The sequence below is a fragment of the Homo sapiens genome, chromosome 7, assembly GCF_000001405.40.
Source record: "Homo sapiens chromosome 7, GRCh38.p14 Primary Assembly".
NCBI lineage: Eukaryota > Metazoa > Chordata > Mammalia > Primates > Hominidae > Homo > Homo sapiens.
The window spans coordinates 63,138,831-63,164,082 of NC_000007.14; the positions used below are offsets into that span (position 1 = coordinate 63,138,831).

A 25,252-nucleotide genomic window follows, 5' to 3' on the forward strand; every position below is an offset into this window, starting at 1 on the left:
ACAAATGATACACATATATTTAACTTAATCATTCCAGAGTCTGCCCTCCTTCATATTTACCTTGCAAAACTCCCCAAGGGTAGTAACAGCCTCTGACCACCCTTTTTCCAACTTTCACTTCAACCATACTCCCTACCACAGCAAACGGTAACAGTCCCTAGAAAACAAGAATGATATGAATTGAATTCTCTAGCACCAATAAAGCTTACTATATTACTCTCACTCCTGTTATAAAAATGACAGCGATGACAATATTGTAATAAATTTAATTAGGGATCTACCCTGTGTCTCATTTTAAGACTTGACAGTATGCGCTAATTGGTTTCTGTCAGCATCAGTCTCAGGCTGTGCACACAATTGGAAACTGTCTACTAAGCAGAGCCTAAAGCAAGGTATCCTGCTGTAGGAAACACAAAGAAAAAGGATTTTTAGTAGACATCATTTTTCTCACACTATCTTTACCCTGAACCATCTTCACCCTGAACCATCTTTACCCTGAATGTTGAAGAAATAACATGCAAGTAACTTTTAACTCTGGTATAAAAGTTAAAAGACAAAATATTAAAAATCACTACCACTATTATAATAATTGATGGATACAATATAAAATGTATTAATAAGCAATACTCTATATGTCTCAATAAATTATGTTTATTTTTTGAGACAGAGTCTGACCCTGTCACCCAGGCTGGAGTGCAGTGGCATGAGCTTGGCTCACTGCAACCTCCACCTTCCAGGTTTGAGTGATTCTCTTGCCTCAGCCTCCGGAGTAGCTAGGATTACAGGCGCCCGCCACCACAACTAGCTAATTTTTGTATTGTTTAGTAGAGATCGAGTTTCATCATGTTGGCCAGGTTGGTCTTGAACTCCTGACCTCAGGTGATCCGCCCACCTTGGCCTCCCAAAGTGCTGGGATTACAGGTGTGAGCCACATGCCCAGCCAAAAGAATTTTTTAAATTTTACAGTACTTAGCATTTAAATTCAGAAATCTATTTAGTGTTTGAGGTATCTTAAAATAAAGGTGGTGTAAATCATAGGAAAAGAGAAATGGAAGAAATGGAATTAACAGTTAGTTACAGTTACCTGTTACATTCTAGACTCCGTGTGTCAGATCCTGACACTTACACTTCAAGAAAAAAAAACCCTTAATAGAGATGTCATTGATCCCATAGCATAGATAAGTTAACAGTCTCAGGGAAGATGAGTGAATTGTTCAGGATCTTTTGGCTTTTAAGCAGAGAAGCTAGGATGGAAATCTAAATCTATATATATATACTTTCAAAATTTATCATCTTTTGGCTGGGCATGATGTCTCATGCCTATAATCCCAGCACTTTGGGAGGCCAAGGTGGGTGGATCACCTGAGGTCAGGAGTTCAAGACCAGCCTTGCCAACATGATGAAACCCCATCTCTACTAAAAATACAGAAATTAGTTGGGCGTGGTGGTGGGCACCTGTAATCCCAGCTACTCAGGAGGCTGAGGCAGGAGAATTGCTTGAATCCAGGAGGCAGAGGTTGCAGTGAGCTAAGATTGCACCATTGCACTCCAGCCTGAGCAACAAGAGTGAGACTCCATCTCAAAAAAAAATCATCTTTCAAATTTTAAGCTAATATTTTAGGCATTTACTAGCATAAAATATTTACACAAATAAAGAGTTTAGTCATCTTTACTACTGCCCTGATTCTAAAACCAGAGACAATACAGCATTCTGCATCCAAGCCCCATCTACTGTTTTTGAGGCTAAGTCCTTGGCAAGTGCATTTGAGAGTTGGAGGCTCCCTTTTACCACTCAAGACCTACTTGTGAAATAGGGGCCCTTCCTTGTATGCAGAAAACAGAGAAGATGGGGGCCCTGACCAACCTTGCCTAGTTCATGAGGCAGTGGCTCATTGTGTGGGGAAGCAATCCAAAGAACCTCAGACTGCTGCTCCTCCACAATGAGCTCTCAGTTGCCAGAAGTGCCTGAAGCTTCAGGGTCGGGGGGTAACCTGCCATTGTTTCCACCCACAATTCCAGAACCCTGTCTCAGAGATTTTGGCTTGGAGAGGAAACAGGCCAAGAAACAGAGAAAACCCATCCAAAAATTTAAATGTAATCCCAAGGGACCTGAATAGCCAAAAAAATATTGAAAGACCAAAGTTAGAGATCTCACACTTCTAGAATTCAAAACACATTACAAAGGTACAGTAATCAAAATAGTTTGGGAGTAGCATAAAGACAGACATGTAGACCAATGGAATCAAATACAGAGTCCAGGGTTAAACCTCCCTTACCTATTCTTCTGTTGATGGACATTTGGGTTGCTTCCATCTCTCAGCTACTGTGAATAATAATGTGATTTATATGCTTTACAAATATCTAAGTAAGTCTCTACTTTCGATTCTTTCAGATATATACCCAGAAAGAGGATTGTTAGATCATATGGTAATTTTATTTTCAATTTTGGAGAAACCACCTGTATTAGTCTATTTTCATGCTGCTGATCAAGATATACCTGAGACTGGGAAGAAAAAGAGGTTTCATTGGACTTACAGTTCCACGTGGCTGGGGAGGCCTTAAAAGCGTCATGGGAGGTGAATGGCACTTCTTACATGGCAGCGGCAAGAGAAAATTGGAAGAAGCAAAAGCAGAAACCCCTGATACATACATCAGATCTCATGAGACTTATTCACTATCATGAGAATAGCACGGGAAAGACCTGCCCCCCACGTTTTAATTATCTTCCACTGGGTCCCTCCAAAAATACGTGGGAATTCTGGGAGATACAATTCAAGTTGAGATTTGGGTGCAGACACAGCCAAACCATATCACCACCTTACTGTTTTTCATAGTGGTTCTAGATGAGAAAAACTGTAAAACACTATTGAAAAAATCAGGGACAGGCCTGGTGCGGTGGCTCATGCCTGTAATCCTAGCACTTTGGGAGGCTGAGGCAGGTGGATCACCTGAGGTCTGGAGTTCAAAACCAGCCTGGCCAACATGGCGAAACACCATCTCTACTAAAAATACAAAAAAAAAAAAAGGAAACCCTCAGGGACTATCTAAATAAATGGAAAGACATTCCATGTACATGGATAGAAAGACTCAATATTGTCAAGATGACAATTTTCCATAACTTAACCTATGGATTCACCACAATCCCAGTCAAAATTTCACCAAATTATTTTGTGAATAACAAATAATAAATAATATGTAATAACAAACAAATAATAACAAACTAACTCCAAAATTTATATGAAAAGGCAAAAGAACTAGAATAGCCAACACAATACTGAAGAACAACAATTTACTACAAAGCCATAGTAATTAAAACAGCATGGCATGGACAAAATAACAGACAAACAGATCAATGGAACAGAGTAGAGAGCCCAGAAATATGCCTACACAAATAGAGTCAATTGATATTTGACAAAGAAGCAATGGGAATTCAATGGAGAAAAGATATTCTTTTCAACAAATGGTGCTGGAACAGGATATTCACATGCAAAAATAAGAATCTATAAACAGACCTTACGTATTTCACAAAATTAACTCAAATTGGATCATAGACCTAAATGTATAGCATAAAATGATAAAATTCTTACAAGATAATGTAGAGTCCCAATTAGGGAAGGGGAGTCAGGCTTGTGGGAGCAGAGGAAAGAAAAAAAAAAAGCAGATAAGCTACAAGTATGCCTTTCTTCATAATCCAGAACACACAGCCCTCCTGCACAAATAACTCACAATCTTCCTGTGTCTAGGTATCAGTAGACCCTTGGCTGATACAAAAAGTTGCAAGTTAAGTCACTGCCACTGATAGTGGCAGGAGGTGGACAAATGCCTAGGCAGATAGGGGCAAGTTCCCAGGGAAATCCCACCTCCAAGCCAAAGACAGTTTAAAGCCTGAAAGCCAAGCTACAAGTCAAATCCATGGACTGGATTGAGAACCTGTCTTCCTGCTTGGTGCACTTTCCTCAGACTGATCCCCACCCTTCAGCTGTTTTACATATACCTATGCTTCCTAATTTTTTTTTTTTTTACATAGTTGTGCCCACCTTTGGGTGGTGCCTTTGTTTTAACCTTTTTGCATACTCACAAACCAATCAGCACGCACTCCCCTATTCTGAGTCCACAAAAGCCCTGGGCTTAGCCACACAAGGAGAGAAACCACCCCCAGGTCCCCTCTCCACTGAAAGCTGTTCCATCACTCAATAAAATTCCTCTCTGCTTTCCTCATCCTTCAATTGTCAGGGTATCCTCATTCTTCTTGGATGTGGGAAAAAAGCTCATGAATCGCCGATCTCAGGTAGAAGCTATAACACAGGCAGGCTAGGGCATGATAGCCCAGCCGGAGGCTGAGCCACTGTGCAAGCCAGACTGGGCCAAGTGGACGGGGAGCCTCCTGTGTGGCAGGTAGCATGCCCAAGCAAGGCCCAGGTGGGGATGTCACTGGCCAGACGTCCCTGGCTGAGAATGACTGAGGAATCCTGCATCACAACCTTGGCATTATCAGCACCATACAAAGCCCTCTTCAGCATACAGCCTAAGAACTATCCTATACAATCTCCAGCAATCCTTTGTTGGTTTGCAGTCAGCTTCTTTCTTGCAAGCTGCCCATTGCCTCCCTAGCAATGTATGTTTCTACTTTCTTTAATAAATCTACCTTCCTTACCTACAACAAGGTAAATTCTTTCTTTCTTTCTTTCTTTTTTTTTTAAGAGAAAATCTCACTCTGTCACCCAGGCTGGAGTGCAGTTGTGCAATCTTGGCTCATTGCAACCTCTGCCTCAACAAGGTAAATTCTTTTATGCCTGTGCCACCAGTCCAGGTAGTCATCACTACCTCACAACAGATAACATAAAAGGAAATATAGGAGACTTTGGGTTTAGCAATGACTTCATTGATGTAACACTGAAAACATGATCGATGAATAGAAAGAATAGATGAGTTGGACTTCATTAAAACTAAAACTTCTGGGCTGGGTGTGGTGGCTCATGCCTGTAATCCCAGCACTTTGGGAGGCTGAGGCAGGTGGATCACGAGGTTAGGAGTTCGAGACCAGCCTGGCCAACATAGTGAAACCTCGTCTCTATTAAAAATACAAAAATTAGCCAGGCATGGTGATGGGCACCTGTAATTCCAGCTACTCAGGAGGCTGAGGCAGAAGAATTGCTTGAACCTGGGAGGGGGAGGTTGCAGTGAGCCAAGATCACACCATTGCACTCCAGCCTGGGCGACAGAATGAGACTCCATCTCAGAAAAAAACAAAACAAAACACTAAAACTTCTGGTAGTCAAAGACACTGTTAAAGATAACAAGATAAGCCGCAGACTGAGAGAAAATCTCTGTAAAACACACACTTGATAAAGGACTGATGTCCAAAATATACAAAGAACTCTTAGAACTCAACAACAAGAAAATGAACAACCCGATTAAAAATGGGCACAAGATCCAAATAGCCACCTCAACAAAAAAGATATTCAGATAACAAATTAAGATGTAAAAAAGGTCCCAGCTACTCGGAGAGGCTGAGGCAGGAGAATGGCGTGAACCCGGGAGGCAGAGCTTGAAGTGAGCCGAGATCGAGCCACTGCACTCCAGCCTGGGTGACAGAGTGAGACTCTGTCTCAAAAAAAAAAAATACTGGTGGACAGTGGTGAATAATAGTTTTATATTCCTTTAAAAAATAAGAAAATGGTTGAACTAGTTTACAGTCCCACCAACAGTGTAAAAGTGTTCCTGTTTCTCCACATCCTCTCCAGCACCTGTTGTTTCCTGACTTTTTAATGATTGCCATTCTAACTGGTGTGAGATGGTATCTCATGTGGTTTTGATTTGCATTTCTCTGATGGCCAGTGATGGTGAGCATTTTTTCATGTACAAAAAAACAAACACCGCATATTCTCACTCATAGGTGGGAATTGAACAATGAGAACACATGGACACAGCAGGGGAACATCACAGTCTGGGGACTGTTGTGGGGTGGGGGGTGGGGGGAGGGGGGAGGGATAGCATTGGGAGATATGCCTAATGCTAGATGACGAGTTAGTGGGTGCAGCACACCAGCATGGCACATGTATACGTATGTAACTAACCTGCACATTGTGCACATGTACCCTAAAACTTAAAGTGTAATAATAATTAATTAATTAAAAAAATAAGAAAATGGATAAATTCCTGGAAACATAAAACCTCTTAAGACTGAACCAGGAAAAAATAGATACCCAAAATAAACCAATAACAAGCAATAAAATTGACTGAGTAATAACGTAATTTCAAACAAAAAAAAAAAAAAAACAAGAACAGATGGGTTTACAGCCAAATTTTGCCAGAAGTACAACGAAGAGCTGGTATCAATCTTACTGAAACTGTTCCAAAAATTTATGGAATTTTTGGATTGGAAGATAAATATCATTACAAAGACCTTACTAACCAAAGCAATCTACAGATTCAACACAATTCCTATCAAATTACCAACATCATTTTTCATAGGACTAGAAAAAGCGATCCTAAATATCATATGAAACCAAAAAAGCATCTAAATAGCCAAAGTAATCCTAAGCAAAAAGAACCAAGTCAGGGGCATCATGTGTCTGACTTCAAATTATACTATAGTGCTAATGCTATATACTAAATAAAACAGTATGGCATTGGTACAAAAATAGATAGATTAATGGAACGGAATAGAGAGTTCATTGTTAGGAAGGATACAGCTAAAAAAAGGACAAAAAATTGTGAAAGAAAAGAGAATAAAGAACCAGTAATAAAGCCACATGCCTACAACCAAGTGATCTTTGACAAAGTTGGCAAAAATAAACCATGGGGAAAGGGCATTCTATTCAATCAATGGTGCTGGGAAAATTGGCTACCCATAGGCAAAAGAATGAAACTGAATCCCCATCTCTTATCATACACAAACTTTAACTCAAGATGCATTAACGACTTAAATGAAAGACCAGAAGCTATAAAAATCCTAGAAGAAAATTTAGGAAAAACTCTTCTAGATATTGGCCTAGACAAATAATTCATAAATTAGACCTGAAAAGCAAATGCAACAAAACCAAATATACACAAATGGGACTTAAACTAAAGAGCACAGCAAAAGAAATAATCAACAGAGTAAACAGATAACCTACACAATAGGAACAAAATATTTGCATCTGACAAAGGACTAATATCCAGAATCTACAAAGAACACAAACAACTCAACATCAACAAAGAATAAATAACCCCATTAAAAAGACTGCAAAGGATATAAACAGACATTTCTCAAAAGAAGACATACAAGTGGCCACCAAACATATGAAAAATTGCTCAACATCACCAATCATCAGAGAAATGCAAATTAAAACCACAATAAAGGCCGGGCACAGTGACTCATACCTGTAGTCCCGGCACTTTGGGAGGCCAAGGTGAGTGGATCACCTGAGGTCAGGAGCTCAAGACCAGCCTGACCAATATGGTTAAACCCCATCTCTACTAAAAATACAAAAATTAGTTGGGCGTGATGGTGGGTGCCTGTAATCCCAGCTACTTGGGAAGCTGAGGCAGGAGAATCCCTTGAACCCAGGAGGTGGAGGTTGCAGTGAGCCAAGATCACACCACTGAACTCCAGCCTGAGTGACAGAGTGAGACTCTGACTCAAACACACACACACACACACACACACACACACACACACACACAATAAGATATCATCTTACATAGTCAGAATGGCTATTATTACAAACACAACAGATGTTGGTGTGGATGCAGAGAATAATGAATGCTTATTCACTGCTGGTGGGACTATAAATTTGCACAACCTCTATGAAAAACAATATAGAGATTTCTCAAAGCACTAAAAATAGAGCTACCATTTGACACAGTGATTATACTACTAGGCATCTACCTGAAAGAAAATATTATATAAAAAAGTCACTTTCACTCATATGTGTATTACATTCCTACTCATAATAGTAAAGTCATGGAATTAACCTAAATGTCCATTAACAGTGGACTGGATTTTTTAAATGTGGTATATATATACCATGGAATACCACACAGCCATTAAAAAAAATGAAATCATGCTCTGTGCAGTAACATGGATGGAGCTGGGGGCCATTATCCTAAGTGAAAATAACTCAGAAACAGAAAATCAAATACCACATGTTCTCACTTATAAGCAGGAGCTAAACAATGAGTACACAAGGACATAAAGATGGAAACAGTAGATAGTGAGACTCCAAAAGGGAGAGATTGGGAGGGGGCTGATGGTCAAAAAATTATCTATTAATAGTGAGATGTGATCACACCACTGCACACCAGCCAGGGCAACAGAGCAAGACTGTATCTCAAAAAAAAAAAAAAAAAGATCTGTTGGGTAAAATGTTTTACTATCTCAGGGATAGGTACACTAGACACCAAACCTCACCATTATGCAATATATCTATTTGATAAATGTGCACATACACCCTCTGAATCCAAAATAAAAAAACAAAGGAAGTTTATAGTAGCAAACACTTACATCCTTTTTAAAAAGATCTTGCCCACAAGTGGTGGCTCACACCTGTAATCCCAGCATTTTGGGAGGCTGAGGCAGGCGGATTGGCTGAGGTCAGGAGTTTGAGACCAGGCTGGCTAACATGGTGAAATCCCATCTCTACTAAAAATACAAAAAAAATTAGCAGGGTATGGTGGCGCACACCTGTAGTCGCAGCTACTCGGGAGGCTGACAGAGGAGAATCACTCTAACCTGGGAGGCGGAGGTTGCAGTGAGCCAAGATTGCACCACTGCACTCCAGCCTGGTGACAGAGGGAGACTTCATCTCAAAAAAAAGATCTCAAATAAACAACCTAACTTTACACATCAAAAAAAAACCTTAAACCAAAAATTAGTAGAAGGAAAGAAATAACAAAGATTGAGCATAAATAAATGAAATAGAGAATAAAAATTTTTTTTTAATCAGCCGGGCACAGTGGCTCACACCTGTAATCCCAGTGGATCTCTTGAAGTCAGGAGTTTGAGACCAGCCTGGTCAACATGGTGAAACCCTGTCTGTACTAAAAATACAAAAATTAGCCAGGCGTGGGGGCATGCTCCTGTAATCCCAGCTACTTGCAAGGCTGAGGCAGGAGAATCGCTTGAACCCTGGAGATGGATATGCAGTGAGCCAAGATCGTGCCACTGCACTCCAGCCTAGGCAACAGAGTGAGACTCTGTCTCAAAAAAAAAATTAATCAATGAAGCTAAGAGTTGATATGGAAAAATAAATCAAAATCAAAGCCATTACCTAGACTAAGAACAAAAAGAGAGAATATGTTAATAAAATAAGAAATGAAAGAGAAGACATTACAATTTATTACAGAAGTTTATTTCTTACAGAAATAAACAGAATTATAAGGGACTACTATGAACAATTATACACTAACCAATTTGACAACTTAGAAGAAATGGTGAAATTACTAGAAATACATAACCTACCAACACTGAATGGAGAATAGAGAGCTTAAAGAGACCGATAACAAATAGAGAATCTAAAGAAGTAATTTTCCAAAACTCCAAAACATAGCCTAGGACCAGATTACTTCATGAGTGAATTCTATCAAACTTTAAAAGAAAATTTAATATAAAACATCCTCAAATTCTTTGAAAAAATAGAAAAAGGAGGTAACACCTTCAGAGTCATTCTATGAGGCAAGCATCCCCCTGATATCCAAGAAAGAAAATATACTTCCAAGAAGAAAATTATAAGCCAATATCCTTGAGGAACACGGTGTATGAATTAAATCTAAATAAATCTGTTTACAAAGAATCAATTCTCAAAAGAAGTTTTTCAAAATAAAAAAATTAAAAAATTTTCACACTGGATTCTGGATAAAAACTCATTTATAGCCTCTTTGTCAGATATTGTTACTGAAACTTACATTAATTGAGGAGTTCGCTTGAGCAGCAGTTTCTTCATCTGCTGGGAGCTGATATATCTGGAGGCCACTGCTAATCAATTCACTCATTATCTTACTCTTTTTTTTTTTTAATGTTTTTTTTTTTTATTATACTCTAAGTTTTAGGGTACATGTGCACATTGTGCAGGTTAGTTACATATGTATACATGTGCCATGCTGGTGCGCTGCACCCACTAACGTGTCATCTAGCATTAGGTATATCTCCCAATGCTATCCCTCCCCCCTCCCCCGACCCCACCACAGTCCCCAGAGTGTGATATTCCCCTTCCTGTGTCCATGTGATCTCGTTGTTCAATTCCCACCTATGAGTGAGAATATGCGGTGTTTGGTTTTTTGTTCTTGCGATAGTTTACTGAGAATGATGGTTTCCAATTTCATCCATGTCCCTACAAAGGACATGAACTCATCATTTTTTATGGCTGCATAGTATTCCATGGTGTATATGTGCCACATTTTCTTAATCCAGTCTATCATTGTTGGACATTTGGGTTGGTTCCAAGTCTTTGCTATTGTGAATAGTGCTGCAATAAACATACGTGTGCATGTGTCTTTATAGCAGCATGATTTATAGTCCTTTGGGTATATACCCAGTAATGGGATGGCTGGGTCAAATGGTATTTCTAGTTCTAGATCCCTGAGGAATCGCCACACTGACTTCCACAATGGTTGAACTGGTTTACAGTCCCACCAACAGTGTAAAAGTGTTCCTATTTCTCCACATCCTCTCCAGCACCTGTTGTTTCCTGACTTTTTAATGATTGCCATTCTAACTGGTGTGAGATGATATCTCATAGTGGTTTTGATTTGCATTTCTCTGATGGCCAGTGATGATGAGCATTTCTTCATGTGTTTTTTGGCTGCATAAATGTCTTCTTTTGAGAAGTGTCTGTTCATGTCCTTCGCCCACTTTTTGATGGGGTGGTTTGTTTTTTTCTTGTAAATTTGTTTGAGTTCATTGTAGATTCTGGATATTAGCCCTTTGTCAGATGAGTAGGTTGCGAAAATTTTCTCCCATGTTGTAGGTTGCCTGTTCACTCTGATGGTAGTTTCTTTTGCTGTGCAGAAGCTCTTTAGTTTAATTAGATCCCATTTGTCAATTTTGGCTTTTGTTGCCATTGCTTTTGGTGTTTTGGACATGAAGTCCTTGCCCACGCCTATGTCCTGAATGGTAATGCCTAGGTTTTCTTCTAGGGTTTTTATGGTTTTACGTCTAACGTTTAAATCTTTAATCCATCTTGAATTGATTTTTGTATAAGGTGTAAGGAAGGGATCCAGTTTCAGCTTTCTACATATGGCTAGCCAGTTTTCCCAGCACCATTTATTAAATAGGGAATCCTTTCCCCATTGCTTGTTTTTCTCAGGTTTGTCAAAGATCAGATAGTTGTAGATATGTGGCATTATTTCTGAGGGCTCTGTTCTGTTCCATTGATCTATATCTCTGTTTTGGTACCAGTACCATGCTGTTTTGGTTACTGTAGCCTTGTAGCATAGTTTGAAGTCAGGTAGTGTGATGCCTCCAGCTTTGTTCTTTTGGCTTAGGATTGACTTGGCGATGCGGGCTCTTTTTTGGTTCCATATGAACTTTAAAGTAGTTTTTTCCAATTCTGTGAAGAAAGTCATTGGTAGCTTGATGGGGATGGCATTGAATCTGTAGATTACCTTGGGCAGTATGGCCATTTTCACGATATTGATTCTTCCTACCCATGAGCATGGAATGTTCTTCCATTTGTTTGTGTCCTCTTTTATTTCCTTGAGCAGCAGTTTGTAGTTCTCCTTGAAGAGGTCCTTCACATCCCTTGTAAGTTGGATTCCTAGGTATTTTATTCTCTTTGAGGCAATTGTGAATGGGAGTTCACTCATGATTTGGCTCTCTGTTTGTCTGTTGTTGGTGTATAAGAATGCTTGTGATTTTTGTACATTGATTTTGTATCCTGAGACTTTGCTGAAGTTGCTTATCAGCTTAAGGAGATTTTGGGCTGAGACGATGGGGTTTTCTAGATATACAATCATGTCTGCAAACAGGGACAATTTGACTTCCTCTTTTCCTAATTGAATACCCTTTATTTCCTTCTCCTGCCTGATTGCCCTGGCCAGAACTTCCAACACTATGTTGAATAGGAGCGGTGAGAGAGGGCATCCCTGTCTTGTGCCAGTTTTCAAAGGGAATGCTTCCAGTTTTTGCCCATTCAGTATGATATTGGCTGTGGGTTTGTCATAGATAGCTCTTATTATTTTGAAATACGTCCCATCAATACCTAATTTATTGAGAGTTTTTAGCATGAAGGGTTGTTGAATTTTGTCAAAGGCTTTTTCTGCATCTATTGAGATAATCATGTGGTTTTTGTCTTTGGCTCTGTTTATATGCTGGATTACATTTATTGATTTGCGTATATTGAACCAGCCTTGCATCCCAGGGATGAAGCCCACTTGATCATGGTGGATAAGCTTTTTGATGTGCTGCTGGATTCGGTTTGCCAGTATTTTATTGAGGATTTTTGCATCAATGTTCATCAAGGATATTGGTCTAAAATTCTCTTTTTTGGTTGTGTCTCTGCCCGGCTTTGGTATCAGAATGATGCTGGCCTCATAAAATGAGTTAGGGAGGATTCCCTCTTTTTCTATTGATTGGAATAGTTTCAGAAGGAATGGTACCAGTTCCTCCTTGTACCTCTGGTAGAATTCGGCTGTGAATCCATCTGGTCCTGGACTCTTTTTGGTTGGTAAACTATTGATTATTGCCACAATTTCAGAGCCTGTTATTGGTCTGTTCAGAGATTCAACTTCTTCCTGGTTTAGTCTTGGGAGAGTGTATGTGTCGAGGAATGTATCCATTTCTTCTAGATTTTCTAGTTTATTTGCGTAGAGGTGTTTGCAGTATTCTCTGATGGTAGTTTGTATTTCTGTGGGATCGGTGGTGATATCCCCTTTATCATTTTTTATTGTGTCTATTTGATTCTTCTCTCTTTTTTTCTTTATTAGTCTTGCTAGCGGTCTATCAATTTTGTTGATCCTTTCAAAAAACCAGCTCCTGGATTCATTGATTTTTTGAAGGGTTTTTTGTGTCTCTATTTCCTTCAGTTCTGCTCTGATTTTAGTTATTTCTTGCCTTCTGCCAGCTTTTGAATGTGTTTGCTCTTGCTTTTCTAGTTCTTTTAATTGTGATGTTAGGGTGTCAATTTTGGATCTTTCCTGCTTTCTCTTGTAGGCGTTTAGTGCTATAAATTTCCCTCTACACACTGCTTTGAATGCATCCCAGAGATTCTGGTATGTGGTGTCTTTGTTCTCGTTGGTTTCAAAGAACATCTTTATTTCTGCCTTCATTTCGTTATGTACCCAGTAGTCATTCAGGAGCAGGTTGTTCAGTTTCCATGTAGTTGAGCGGCTTTGAGTGAGATTCTTAATCCTGAGTTCTAGTTTGATTGCACTGTGGTCTGAGAGATAGTTTGTTATAATTTCTGTTCTTTTACATTTGCTGAGGAGAGCTTTACTTCCAACTATGTGGTCAATTTTGGAATAGGTGTGGTGTGGTGCTGAAAAAAATGTATATTCTGTTGATTTGGGGTGGAGAGTTCTGTAGATGTCTATTAGGTCTGCTTGGTGCAGAGCTGAGTTCAATTCCTGGGTATCCTTGTTGACTTTCTGTCTCGTTGATCTGTCTAATGTTGACAGTGGGGTGTTAAAGTCTCCCATTATTAATGTGTGGGAGTCTAAGTCTCTTTGTAGGTCACTCAGGACTTGCTTTATGAATCTGGGTGCTCCTGTATTGGGTGCATAAATATTTAGGATAGTTAGCTCCTCTTGTTGAATTGATCCCTTTACCATTATGTAATGGCCTTCTTTGTCTCTTTTGATCTTTGTTGGTTTAAAGTCTGTTTTATCAGAGACTAGGATTGCAACCCCTGCCTTTTTTTGTTTTCCATTGGCTTGGTAGATCTTCCTCCATCCTTTTATTTTGAGCCTATGTGTGTCTCTGCACATGAGATGGGTTTCCTGAATACAGCACACTGATGGGTCTTGACTCTTTATCCAACTTGCCAGTCTGTGTCTTTTAATTGCAGAATTTAGTCCATTTATATTTAAAGTTAATATTGTTATGTGTGAATTTGATCCTGTCATTATGATGTTAGCTGGTGATTTTGCTCATTAGTTGATGCAGTTTCTTCCTAGACTCGATGGTCTTTACATTTTGGCATGATTTTGCAGCGGCTGGTACCGGTTGTTCCTTTCCATGTTTAGCGCTTCCTTCAGGAGCTCTTTTAGGGCAGGCCTGGTGGTGACAAAATCTCTCAGCATTTGCTTGTCTGTAAAGTATTTTATTTCTCCTTCACTTATGAAGCTTAGTTTGGCTGGATATGAAATTCTGGGTTGAAAATTCTTTTCTTTAAGAATGTTGAATATTGGCCCCCACTCTCTTCTGGCTTGTAGGGTTTCTGCCGAGAGATCCGCTGTTAGTCTGATGGGCTTTCCTTTGAGGGTAACCCGACCTTTCTCTCTGGCTGCCCCTAACATTTTTTCCTTCATTTCAACTTTGGTGAATCTGACAATTATGTGTCTTGGAGTTGCTCTTCTCGAGGAGTATCTTTGTGGCGTTCTCTGTATTTCCTGAATCTGAACATTGGCCTGCCTTGCTAGATTGGGGAAGTTCTCCTGGATAATATCCTGCAGAGTGTTTTCCAACTTGGTTCCATTCTCCACATCACTTTCAGGTACACCAATCAGACGTAGATTTGGTCTTTTCACATAGTCCCATATTTCTTGGAGGCTTTGCTCATTTCTTTTTATTCTTTTTTCTCTAAACTTCCCTTCTCGCTTCATTTCATTCATTTCATCTTCCATTGCTGATACCCTTTCTTCCAGTTGATCGCATCGGCTCCTGAGGCTTCTGCATTCTTCACGTAGTTCTCGAGCCTTGGTTTTCAGCTCCATCAGCTCCTTTAAGCACTTCTCTGTATTGGTTATTCTAGTTATACATTCTTCTAAATTTTTTTCAAAGTTTTCAACTTCTTTGCCTTTGGTTTGAATGTCCTCCCGTAGCTCAGAGTAATTTGATCGTCTGAAGCCTTCTTCTCTCAGCTCGTCAAAATCATTCTCCATCCAGCTTTGTTCCGTTGCTGGTGAGGAACTGCGTTCCTTTGGAGGAGGAGAGGCGCTCTGCGTTTTAGAGTTTCCAGGTTTTCTGTTCTGTTTTTTCCCCATCTTTGTGGTTTTATCTACTTTTGGTCTTTGATGATGGTGATGTACAGATGGGTTTTCGGTGTAGATGTCCTTTCTGGTTGTTAGTTTTCCTTCTAACAGACAGGACCCTCAGCTGCAGGTCTGTTGGAATACCCTGCCGTGTGAGGTGTCAGTGTGCCCCTGCTGGGGGGTGCCTCCCAGTTAGGCTGCTCGGGGGTCAGGGTTCAGGGACCCACTTGAGGAGGCAGTCTGCCCGTTCTCAGATCTCCAGCTGCGTGCTGGGAGAACCACTGCTCTCTTCAAAGCTGTCAGACAGGGACACTTAAGTCTGCAGAGGTTACTGCTGTCTTTTTGTTTGTCTGTGCCCTGCCCCCAGAGGTGGAGCCTAGAGAGGCAGGCAGGCCTCCTTGAGTTGTGGTGGGCTCCACCCAGTTCGAGCTTCCTGGCTGCTTTGTTTACCTAAGCAAGCCTGGGCAATGGCGGGCGCCCCTCCCCCAGCCTCGTTGCCGCCTTGCAGTTTGATCTCAGACTGCTGTGCTAGCAATCAGCGAGATTCCGTGGGCGTAGGACCCTCTGAGCCAGGTGTGGGATATAGTCTCGTGGTGCGCCGTTTCTTAAGCCGGTCTGAAAAGCGCAATATTCGGGTGGGAGTGACCCGATTTTCCAGGTGCGTCTGTCACCCCTTTCTTTGACTCGGAAAGGGAACTCCCTGACCCCTTGCGCTTCCCAGGTGAGGCAATGCCTCGCCCTGCTTCGGCTCGCGCACGGTGCGCGCACACACTGGCCTGCGCCCACTGTCTGGCACTCCCTAGTGAGATGAACCCGGTACCTCAGATGGAAATGCAGAAATCACCCGTCTTCTGCGTCGCTCACGCTGGGAGCTGTAGACCGGAGCTGTTCCTATTCGGCCATCTTGGCTCCTCCCCCCATCTTACTCTTAAAAGTCTGTAAATCATTTTTAGAAATTGTGTCTGCTTTGGCAATCAGCGGTATAATGTTCACCTATTAAGACAAAAGACAAAATCTCAGCATCAAGGATTCCTTGTTCATCCTATAGTTTTTATAGTAAAGCCTTCACAAACTCTGACAACAAATTGTGAAACTAGATAATCACTGGCTGTCATGCCTTTCTTAAAAATTATTTTCCAAAGTTATCAATACTTTTGAAGATTCATCTTCTATCTAAATTCAGGTTTACAAGTCTCAACCTTGTTGCTCTTTTAAAAATCCCTTACACCTCTACACATATGGAGTTAGTAAAATGTAAATAGTAGGACAATGTAAATTATTTATTTTCAACTTTCTTATTAAGCTGAGTGATTAAAGACAAATTGAATGACATTTCATCAAAATTATGGAAGAGATTTTGTCTTTCTACTTTTTCCATCACTTTTTCCATCAATTAATCTTAATTAATGTCCCATTTTCACACACTCTTGCCCCACCTAGATGTGTTTGCAGATAGATTTGATTTTGTTTTCCAAAGGCCACCTAAAAAGAATTTTTTTTTTTTGAGACGGAGTCTTGCTCTGTCACCCAGGCTGGAGTGCAATGGCATGATCTTGGCTCACTGCAACATCCACCTTCCAGGTTTAAGCGAGTCTCTGCCTCAGCCTCCCGAGTAGCTGAGATTACAGGGGCATGCCACCACACCCTGTTGATTTTTGTATTTTTAGTAGAGATGGGGTTTCTCCATGTTGGCCAGGCTGGTCTCGAACCCCTGACCTCAGGTGATCTGCCCACCTCGGCCTCCCAAAGTGCTGGGATTATGGGTATGAGCCACCGCACCCAGCCTGATTACCACAGTCTAAAGGCTGTGTGTGTGTGTATGTGTGTATGTGTGTGTAAGAGCACTTTGCAAACAAATATACTCATTCTTTTGTAAAAAGATGTAATTTCCACATTGGAAGTTGAATAGTTGCATATTTGAGGTTGAATTTTTACCCACAACATTTTTTCCTAGTGCTTCAACATGATCACTGCTGTGTTTTGCATTTGCACTTAAATAAACTTTTTAGAAAATAACAATATACAAAATTATAAAATGTTTTATTACTGTTAAAACATCTTATTAAATTATAGCTCCACAAAATCAGTATCTGTAATACAGTACAAATATATAAATATAAATTTTAGGCAGACTGCTTTTGTTTTAGATTGCTCAAAGCATATTTTTCAAAAAATCCATGGACAAGCCAGGCACAGTGGCTCACGCCTGTAACCCAGCACTTTGGCAGCCCGAGGCGGGTGGATCACCTGAGGTCAGGAGTTTGAGACGAGCTTCGCCAACGTGGTGAAGCCCTGTCTCTACTAAAAATGCAAAAATTAGCTGGGCATGGTAGTGGGCACCTGTAGTCCCAGCTACTCAGGAGGTTGAGGCAGGAGAATCACTTAAACCCGGGAGGCGGAGGTTGCAGTGAGCCAAGTTCATGCCATTGCACTCCAGCCTGGGCAACAAGAGCAAAACTCCATCTAAAAAAAAAACATTAGCCAGGTGTGTTGGCAGCACCTGTAGCCCCAGCTGCTCAGGTGGCTAGGGTGGGAGGATCACTTCAGCCCAGGAAGTTGAGGCTGCAGTGAGCCGTGATCTGACAAAAAACAAAAACAAAGAAACAAAAAACAAACAAAAACAAAAACTCCATAACCTGACCTCCTCGCTATGAACAAAGCTAGATAGGACATCTCTTTTCTCCCACTGTCCATCACGAGGACTGCCACAGCACTCTGTAAGCTCCCTCATAAAGGCTTTGGACTGATCACCCTGGCATTTTAGTAGTTCGCCCTGTGGAATTCAGCCCTATCTCCGGACCATTTGGGGTACTCCTTTGTGGGAATTCCCCTGCACCACTTTTGGGGCAGCTCTAGCCAGCCTTGAATTTGACATGACATAACACAGTGATGGTAAATCATTAACATAAAGAAATGGAAACTTTTGGCTGGGCACGGTGGCTCAGGCCTGTAATCCCAACACTGGGAGGCTGAGGCGGGTGGATCACCTGAGGTCATGAGTTCGAGACCAGCCTGGCCAACAGGGTGGAACCCCATCTCTACTAAAAATACAAAAATTAGCCAGGCATGGTGGTAGGTGCCTGTAATCCTAGCTACTTGGGAGACTGAGGGAGGAGAATCCCTTGAACCCGGGAGGTGGAGGTGGCAATGAGCCAAGATGGTGCCACTGCACTTCAGCCTGGGCCACAGAGTGAGACTTTGTCTTGAAAAAAAAAAGAGAGAGAGAGAGAGAAAGAAAGAAAGAAATGGAAACTTTCTATGTCAATAATTCCTCAGGTGTTCAGATTTAAGAGGAAAGGCATTCATTGCAAGGAGAACAGACCAACTTGAAAAAGAAGACAAGCAGGGCATGGTGGCTCACACCTGCAATCCCAGCACTTTGGGAGGCTGAGACCAGCAGATTGCTTGAGCCCAGGAGTTTCAGACCCATCTGGACAATATGGCAAGACCCCTCTCTCTCCAAAAAATTAAAAATTAGCCAGGCGTGCAGGCACACGCCTGTGGTCCCAGCTACTTGAGGCTGAGGTGGGAGAACTCCTTGAGCCTGGACGATCAAGGCTGCCATGAGCCTGGTTCATGTCACTGCACTCCTGCCTGGGCAACAGAGTGAGATCTTGTCTCAAAGAAAGAGAAAAGAAAAAGACAGTAGCCATATACTCTTGCCTATCCCTTTATATAATGGTTTTGTGAAAATTAGAGATTTTATATTCTGGAAAATGGTTTGATGATAACAGATGAACATGAAATTAAAAGTGTGTATCCCAGTTGAGTGTGGTGGCTCATGCCTGTAATCCCAGCACTTTGGGAGGCTGAAGTGGGCAGGTCACCTGAGTTCAGGAGCTCGAGATCAGCATGAACAACATGGAGAAACCCTGTCTCTACTAAAAGTAAAAATAAAAAAGTAGCCGGGTGTGGTGGTGCAAGCCTGTGTCCCAGCTTCTTGGGAGGCTGAGGCAGGCCAGGCGTGGCGGCACAAGCCTGTAATCCCAGCTACTTGGGAGGCTGAGGCAGGAGAATCGCTTGAACCTGGGAGGTGGAGGTTGCAGTGGGCCGAGACTGTGCCACTGCACTCCAGCCTGATCAACAGAGTGAGACTCCATCTCGAAAAAAAAAAAAGTCCTATGCAGTATGAATCCACGTTATATGTATTATACAATATGTAATAAATATTATATATGCATATATAATATAGTACATGGTACGTATACTCTATCATTTACATATATGTGTATAAATATTTATATATCTATACAACCACATAAAAGGATAAACATTATATCCTGTCATATAAAGAATAAACATTTATCCACATAAAAGGATAAACATAATACCAAGTAGTATTGAACTCTTAATACGTTCCTTAATATACTCACATACTCTCCTACTCTATGTTCTATATGCCATTTAAGTCTTAAATTTATTTTATACAAAATCATATACGCAAAAGTGTGGATCTAACATGTGTACAATGCAGACAATAAAAATAAATAGGGCCAGGCATAGTGGCTCATGTGTGTAATCCTAGCACTTTGGGAGGCCAAAGCAGGAGGATAACTTTAGGTCAGGAGTTTAAGACTAGCCTGGGCAACATAGGGAGATACCATCTTTATCAAAAATAAAATAAAGGCCAAGCGTGGTGGCTCATGCCTGTAATCCCAGAACTTTGGGAGGCCAAGGCAGGCGGATCACCCGAGGTCGGGAGTTCGAGACTAGCCTGACCAACATGGAGAAACCCCATCTCTACTAAAAAATACAAAATTAGCCGGGCATGGTGGCACATGCCTGTAATCCCAGCTACTAGGGGGGCTGAGGCAGGAGACTTGCTTGAACCCAGAAGGCAGAGGTTGCAGTGAGCCAAGATCGCGCCATTGCACTCCAGCCTGGGCAACAAGAGTGAAACTGCGTCTCAAAAAAATAAAAATAAAAATAAAATAAAATAAAATAAAATAAAAAGTTAGCAGGCTAGGTGCCGTGGCTCAGGCCTGTAATCCCAGAATTTTGGGAGACTGAGGCAGGTGGATCACCTGAGGCAGGAGTTCGAAACCAGCCTGGCCAACATGGTGAAACCCCCTCTCTGCTAAAAATACAAAAATTAGCCAGGCATATTGGCACATGTCTGCAATCCCAGCTACTCAGCAGGCTGAGGCAGGAGAATGGCTTGAACCTGGGAGGCAGAGATTGCAGTGAGCCAAGATTATGCCACTGTACTCCAACCTGGGTGACAAGAGTGAAACTCCACCTCACAAAAACAAACAAACGAAAAACATTAGCCAGGCATGGTGACACATGCCTGTGGTCCCAGCTGCCATGGGGGCTGAGGTAAGAGGATTGCTTGAGCCTGGGAGGTCAAGGCTGCAGTCAGCTATGATTGTGCATCACTACGCTCCAGCCTGGGTGACAGAGTGAGACACTGTCTAAAAAAAAAAAAAGAAAAGAAAAGAAAAATTAAAATAAAAAGAACTTTCATGTACCCATTTCTCAGCTTTGGCTAGAACACAAACAAGACCTTTATGCTTTCCTTGATTGCAGGTCACCATACCCGCTTGGAAGTCTCTGCTATACTGAAATTTGCATTAACTCTCTTGCTTATGTTTATTCATTTTCTATGGTGGTTACTAAAACACGTAACATAAGGGCTATCCTCTTAAATTTGTAAGTGTACATTACAATATTTTTAACTATAAGCACAGTGTTGCACAGCAGACCTCTGGAACTTTTCAATCTTGCATAATTTAAACTTTATACTCATTGAACAGCAACTTCATTTTCCTCCACCCACCCCCAGCCCCTGGTAACCAGCATTCTACTTTCTACTTCAATGGGTTTGGCAACCTTAGATACCTCGGATTGGTGGAATTAGGCTATGTTTGTTTTTTCTGACTGGCTCATTCATTCACTTTGCATAATGTCCTCAAGGTTCATGCACGTCATTGCAAATGACAGGATTTCTCTCTTTTTATAAGGCTAATTAATATTCCATTTATGTATATGCCATATTTTCTCTATCCATTTATCAGTCGTTGGACATTTACATTACTTCCATGTATTGGCTATTGCAAATAATGCTTCCAAGGACGTGGGAATAAAAATATCTCTTCAGCATCCTGATTTCAATTTTTTGGAATAAATACTCAGAATCTGGGTTGCTGGATCTTATGACATGTTTTTTGAGACAGGATCTCATTCTGTTGGCTGAGTGCAGTTGTGTGATTATGGCTAACTGTGGCCTTGAATGTCTGGGCTCAAGCAATCCTTCTGCCTCAGCCTTCCCAGTAGTTGAGACTACAGGCATGTGCCACCATGCCTGGCTAATTTTTTTTTTTTTTTTTGGAGAGATTGGGTCTTGTTCTATTGCCCAGGCTGGTCTGGAACTCCTAGCCTCAAGTGTCTTTCTGCCTTGGCCTCCCAAATGCTAGGATTACAGGTGTGAAGCATTGCACCCATCCAAGAATTCTTGGATCATGAAATCAACCTAATTTATTTGAGATGTGTGGCCACTTTTAATACATTGCTGGTATCAATTTGCTATTATTTTGATTAATCTTTTTGCATCTATGCAAGTTCCTCATTTGATTCTTGCATGGTGTTGCATCAAGTTTATGCTAGATTCATAAAATAAATTGTAGAGTGCTGCTCTTTTTCCTTGTCCCTAAAATAGTTTGGATAATATTAGAATTATTTCTTTCTTGAATATTTTTAAACTTCGTGAATAAAACTTTCTCAGCTTAGTGCTATCTTTGTGAAAGTTCTTAAACTGTAATTTTCATTTTGTAAAAAGTTATTGGTTCATTTTGATTTTCTATTATTTCTAAAATATGTACGTTTCAAGTTTTCTCTTAGGTATTTGCTCATTTCACTAAGTTTTAATCCATTACTTTTTTCAAAAAAAGTTTTTACATTTTATTTGTGCTCTTCTTCTGGGACTCTAAGAACACAGATGTTAGAACTTTTGTTATTATTCCATGGGTCTCTGACACTGTCTTAATTTTTTTAAATTATTATTTTTGTTTATTCTCTTCTGTTCAGATTAATTTCTCATTATCTTTTTCCACGATCATCAATTTTTCTTTGTCTTCTTTATCTTGCTCCTGAGCCCCTTCAGTAATTTTTAGAGAATTTTGGTAGTTGCATAAAATTTTGATTCCATTCTTTTAAAATACCTTCTATTTTTCTGGTGAAACTTTCTCAATTTCATTCTATTTCAACAGTGTTCAATCTTACTTCTTGAAGTATAGTTATAACAGCTGCTCCAAAGTCTTTGATAATCCCACCTTCTGTGTCAACTTGGTATTCGTGTCTGTTGGTTGTCTTTTTAGCTTTGTGAGATGTTCAGATTTTTCTAATTATAAAAAATTAGAGGCCAGGTGTGTTGGCTCACACCTTTTATCCCAGCACTTTGGGAGGCCGAGGCAGGTGGATCACCTGAGGTAAGGAGTTTGAGACCAGCCTGGCCAATGCGGTGAAACCCCATCTCTTCTAAAAATACAAAAAATTAGCAAGGCCTGGTGGTGGAGGCCTGTAATCCCAGCTACTTGAGAGGCTGAAGCAGGAGAATTGCTTGAACCCAGGAGGCAGAGGGTTTAGTCAGCCAAGATTACACCACTGCACTGCAGCCTGGGCAACAAGAGTGACACTCCATCTCAAAAAAAAAAAATTAGAAATTTTAAAAGTTTTCTAATTTTCTAATTCTTAATGTGTTGAGTAATTTTTTATTGTATTCTGGACATCTTACACACTATGCTCTGTGAATCTGAGTCTTGATAAAATGCTATAGAGTTTTTTTTTATTTAACAGGTAGTAACCTTGCTAGAGTCAGCCACAAATTCCTACCGACCTTCTGTTTGCATTGGTTCATTCTAGTGCCAATTCTGTTTACAAGGCCCTTATAAGAGGTATTGAGATGTGTCCCACTGGTGCACCACCTAAGGGCCAGTTTGGGATTATGGGATTATGGGATCTGGGTAGAGTTCTAACCCATCCTTCAGTTCTCAAAAACTACAGTTTAGCATCAGATTTTATATATATATATATATATATATATATATATATATATATATATATATATATATATATATATTTTCTATCTATATATATAATAATAAATATATTCTATCTATATATAATAATATATATATTCAGTTTTCCCCTCCAATTTTAATACTTTCAAATTCTAGTGGTTCATTGAGATCTTTTTCAAATCTTCCTGATTATCTGTACATTCTCTTGTTTATCATTTTCAATCCACTTTTATTATTTTGATATATTCATTTTTATAGCGTTGCTCATAATCCTAGTATCTATAGTCTTTGTAGATCTGACTTTATACTTTGTTGTTTCTGTTGGCCGTTGTTCATAGTGACTTGTTTTCTTCAGAGATGTGTTTGTTTATTCCGGGTTCCAAGAGAATATACCTATGTGAGTTTGCTTTAACCTAACATTTTGAGTTGAAGTTTTCCAGGACATATATGTGGTATGAATTCTGGCCCAACTTTTCATTATATATTTGTCATCAGGGATTCTCAGAGGCTATGTTCTTTTTTCAGTCATTCAACACAGACCTAAGAAAAAAACCAATGAATTTGTCAACATTCATCTCTAGAGAACAGGATTTTCATTTAATGTATCCAGTGAGGGTTTCATTGCTCTAGGCCCCCTTCTCTATGACGAGGCTTCTGACCTGTCCTTCTGTTATGTTGGGACTTCAGACTTTGTTTACATTTTTGTGTGTATGTTTCTCTAACACCCATGATAGACAAACAGTCATCCTCAGGGAAAAAGCCAGCTTCAAAAACTGCTTATCATTCTTGTATCAATCTTTATTATTTTTTTTAATTTTTTTTTTTGAGACGGAGTCTCACTCTGTCACCCAGGCTGGAGTGCGGTGGTGCAACCTCAGCTGACTGCAACCTCCACTTCCCCGGTTCAAGTGATTCTTCTGCCTCAGCCTCCTGAGTAGCTGGGATTACAGGTGCATGCCACCATGTCCAGCTAATTTTTGCATTTTTAGTAGAGACGGGGTTTCATCACGTTGGTCAGGATGGTCATGAACTCCTGACCTCATGATCCACCTGCTTTGGCCTCCCAAAGTGCTGGGATTACAGGCATGAGCCACTGTGCCCAGCATCATTCTTTATTATTGTTTTTCACTTCCAACTTCTATTTAAGCTCAGCATACTTAAAATATGCTTTAGATATGTTGTTGAGCATTTTTAGGTGTTCTATATTAGGAGGTGCTTGTGTGTGTGTGTGTGTGTGTGTGTGTGTGTGCGCGCGCGCGCGCATGCTTGGTCTGATATATAGCTTTAAGTAAAAGTTTGTTCATAATTTTTTCCTAAATTCACTATAAAATAATGCTAATAAGCACACCAAATATCAGCAGTGGTTTAATTTTGAAAGTACTTATGAGTTATTTTTTCTTTAAGTTCTTTTAAATTTTCAGAAATTTAAAGAGGATCATTTGTTATTTTTATAATTAGAAAAAAGTTATGAAAGAAACATTATCACAAGGAATTACATGGTGTAAAGGCAGCAAAACAGGAAGTTAGCAATAAATAAAAGAATGAGATGAGAGAATTCTTCAAAAGAAGGAAATTGTTGAGCTGATTATAAAACTAGTACTCGAATTCTGTTAAGTACACAATGAAATTTCCAATAAATTACATCGCAAAGAAGTATATGTTAATTTTTTTTGTTAAAAGTAATTTGAAGTGTACTTCCCATACTTGTCCTGAATATAACCTTGACTAAATCTGACTTCATATAATTTTTGCAAAACTTAAATGAGATAATAGTTGAAAAATGCTAGCTCAGATGAAACACCCAGTTTTGAAAATTTTAGTAGCATTATATTATGGCAATAAGACTTAAGTAATGAAATGATAAAGCTTCTGGTTATTAAGCTGCTGATTGTATCAGAGTCAAATGGCATATACTTGTGTTTGAAATTCAGGTGCAGACTTTCAATATAAGAGAGTTCACTTTCCTATATTCCAGTAAACAGTATCCTAATCACCATCAATAGCATTTGTCAAGCACATGATATGGGTGTCAGTGTTTGCTAAGAGAGGGAAAGGTTATATAAGGAAGTATTTACCCTTGAATTTCAAATAATTGTTATGGGGATATGAAAACATAGACAATT

General features: G+C 40.0%; 1 pseudogene; it reads right to left on the reverse strand.

Annotated features, from left to right (window-relative positions):
- The window catches only part of SEPTIN14P1 (septin 14 pseudogene 1), a 29,233-nt pseudogene extending 13,127 nt beyond the window's left edge, over positions 1–16,106 (reverse strand).